The sequence below is a fragment of the Homo sapiens genome, chromosome 2, assembly GCF_000001405.40.
Source record: "Homo sapiens chromosome 2, GRCh38.p14 Primary Assembly".
Taxonomy (NCBI): Eukaryota; Metazoa; Chordata; class Mammalia; order Primates; family Hominidae; genus Homo; species Homo sapiens.
The window spans coordinates 124,975,315-124,976,547 of record NC_000002.12 but is presented as its reverse complement, the minus strand read 5'-3'; the positions used below and the strand labels follow the sequence as shown (position 1 = coordinate 124,976,547).

Here is a 1,233-nt window from a genome sequence, read left to right as displayed (position 1 = left end):
CTCTTCTTTGGAATAAACCTATTGAGATGTTAGCTTCACTCTTTTATATCCCTGTATTGCCTCAGACCCTAGCAGGCCACAACATTAGAGTAAAAGTGAACACTCCTTCAAGAAGCATAATATTTTTTTATACTTCAAGAAGCATAGTATTATTTTTTATCGTGAGTGCTCAAAAAATAATTGTCACTTTCCATGAGACACCCCAGTCCTCTTCCAAGAGTGAATTCTGCCCCTGGGTGGCTGGCTGGCAGGGTTTTCCTAATATTACTTTGTAAGCCATATATAAGCATGACCTTCTGAACAGGAAAAAGCATATAGAAAATAAAAACAAAAACAAAGTACCACTGTCAACCGCAACAGTATAAACCCTCCCTTAGGACTCCATCAGCTTTTTCAGACCTGAAAAAGTATGACTCCCTCAGGGGTAAACTTTACGTGAACTACACTGGGGTTTGTTTCCCTGAATATCATCCTATATTTTTTAATCATTACCTTCCTAAAAAGGCGGAGATAGTAGAGATTCAGGGAGATGGGAAAAGCAGATTTTCTCGTTGGAATTAGGGGACTTCCTCTTTGCTTTCCATTTAATGTGATTTACCAGGTTCTGAGCTCTATCAGGGGGCAAGGCTTCAGATGGCTTTCCATTCCTCTCCCTTACTGTCATCAACTGCACTGACTTGGCTTGCACAACTGCAGAGAATGTGATCCTTTTCCTGTGATAAACTCACAGCCATTAGCAGCTATCCAAATGCAAAGAGAGTTGTGAATGTGACCTTATGGGAAATGAAGAAAAGTCAGCTTATTAAAGTCCAATGAAATGCCTTGTTTTTTTCTTTCAGCCTTTTGTTTATTTCTTCTTCCCTTTGGAACTTTCTGCAAGGCATTGTGGTAATTCTCTGAACAATTTCATGACTTTTGTGTACAGTCTATGCAATGAAAGACCACTTGTGTAAATTAAAAAAACAAAACAGAACAAAATTGCTTTGTGGGTTATTGAGATGCCCTAGGGAGAGGGGGCCTGAGCTGGTCTGGGAATGCAGGACAGCCCTTTGCGCAACAGAGAGCAAGCAGCCACTCTGGAGGAGTGATCAATACTACAGTAGCTCCCACATGGAATGTTTCCTCTGCTGGTCCAGGGCGATGGCTCCCCTTCTGGCCTAAGCTACGATAGCTCTCATTAAAGACACATGGACAAGAGGGAAATGCTCACTGCTCTCAAGAAACCTACCTTCT

At 41.5% G+C, this 1,233-nt stretch overlaps 1 annotated feature.

Annotated features, from left to right (window-relative positions):
• Positions 471-972: an enhancer, noted in NCBI's record as "NANOG hESC enhancer chr2:125733153-125733654 (GRCh37/hg19 assembly coordinates)". NCBI's record gives its function as "activates a minimal SCP1, AML or CMV promoter by ChIP-STARR-seq in naive H9 embryonic stem cells {active_cell/tissue: H9 hESC(naive)}" and the evidence as "EXISTENCE:reporter gene assay evidence [ECO:0000049][PMID:30033119]".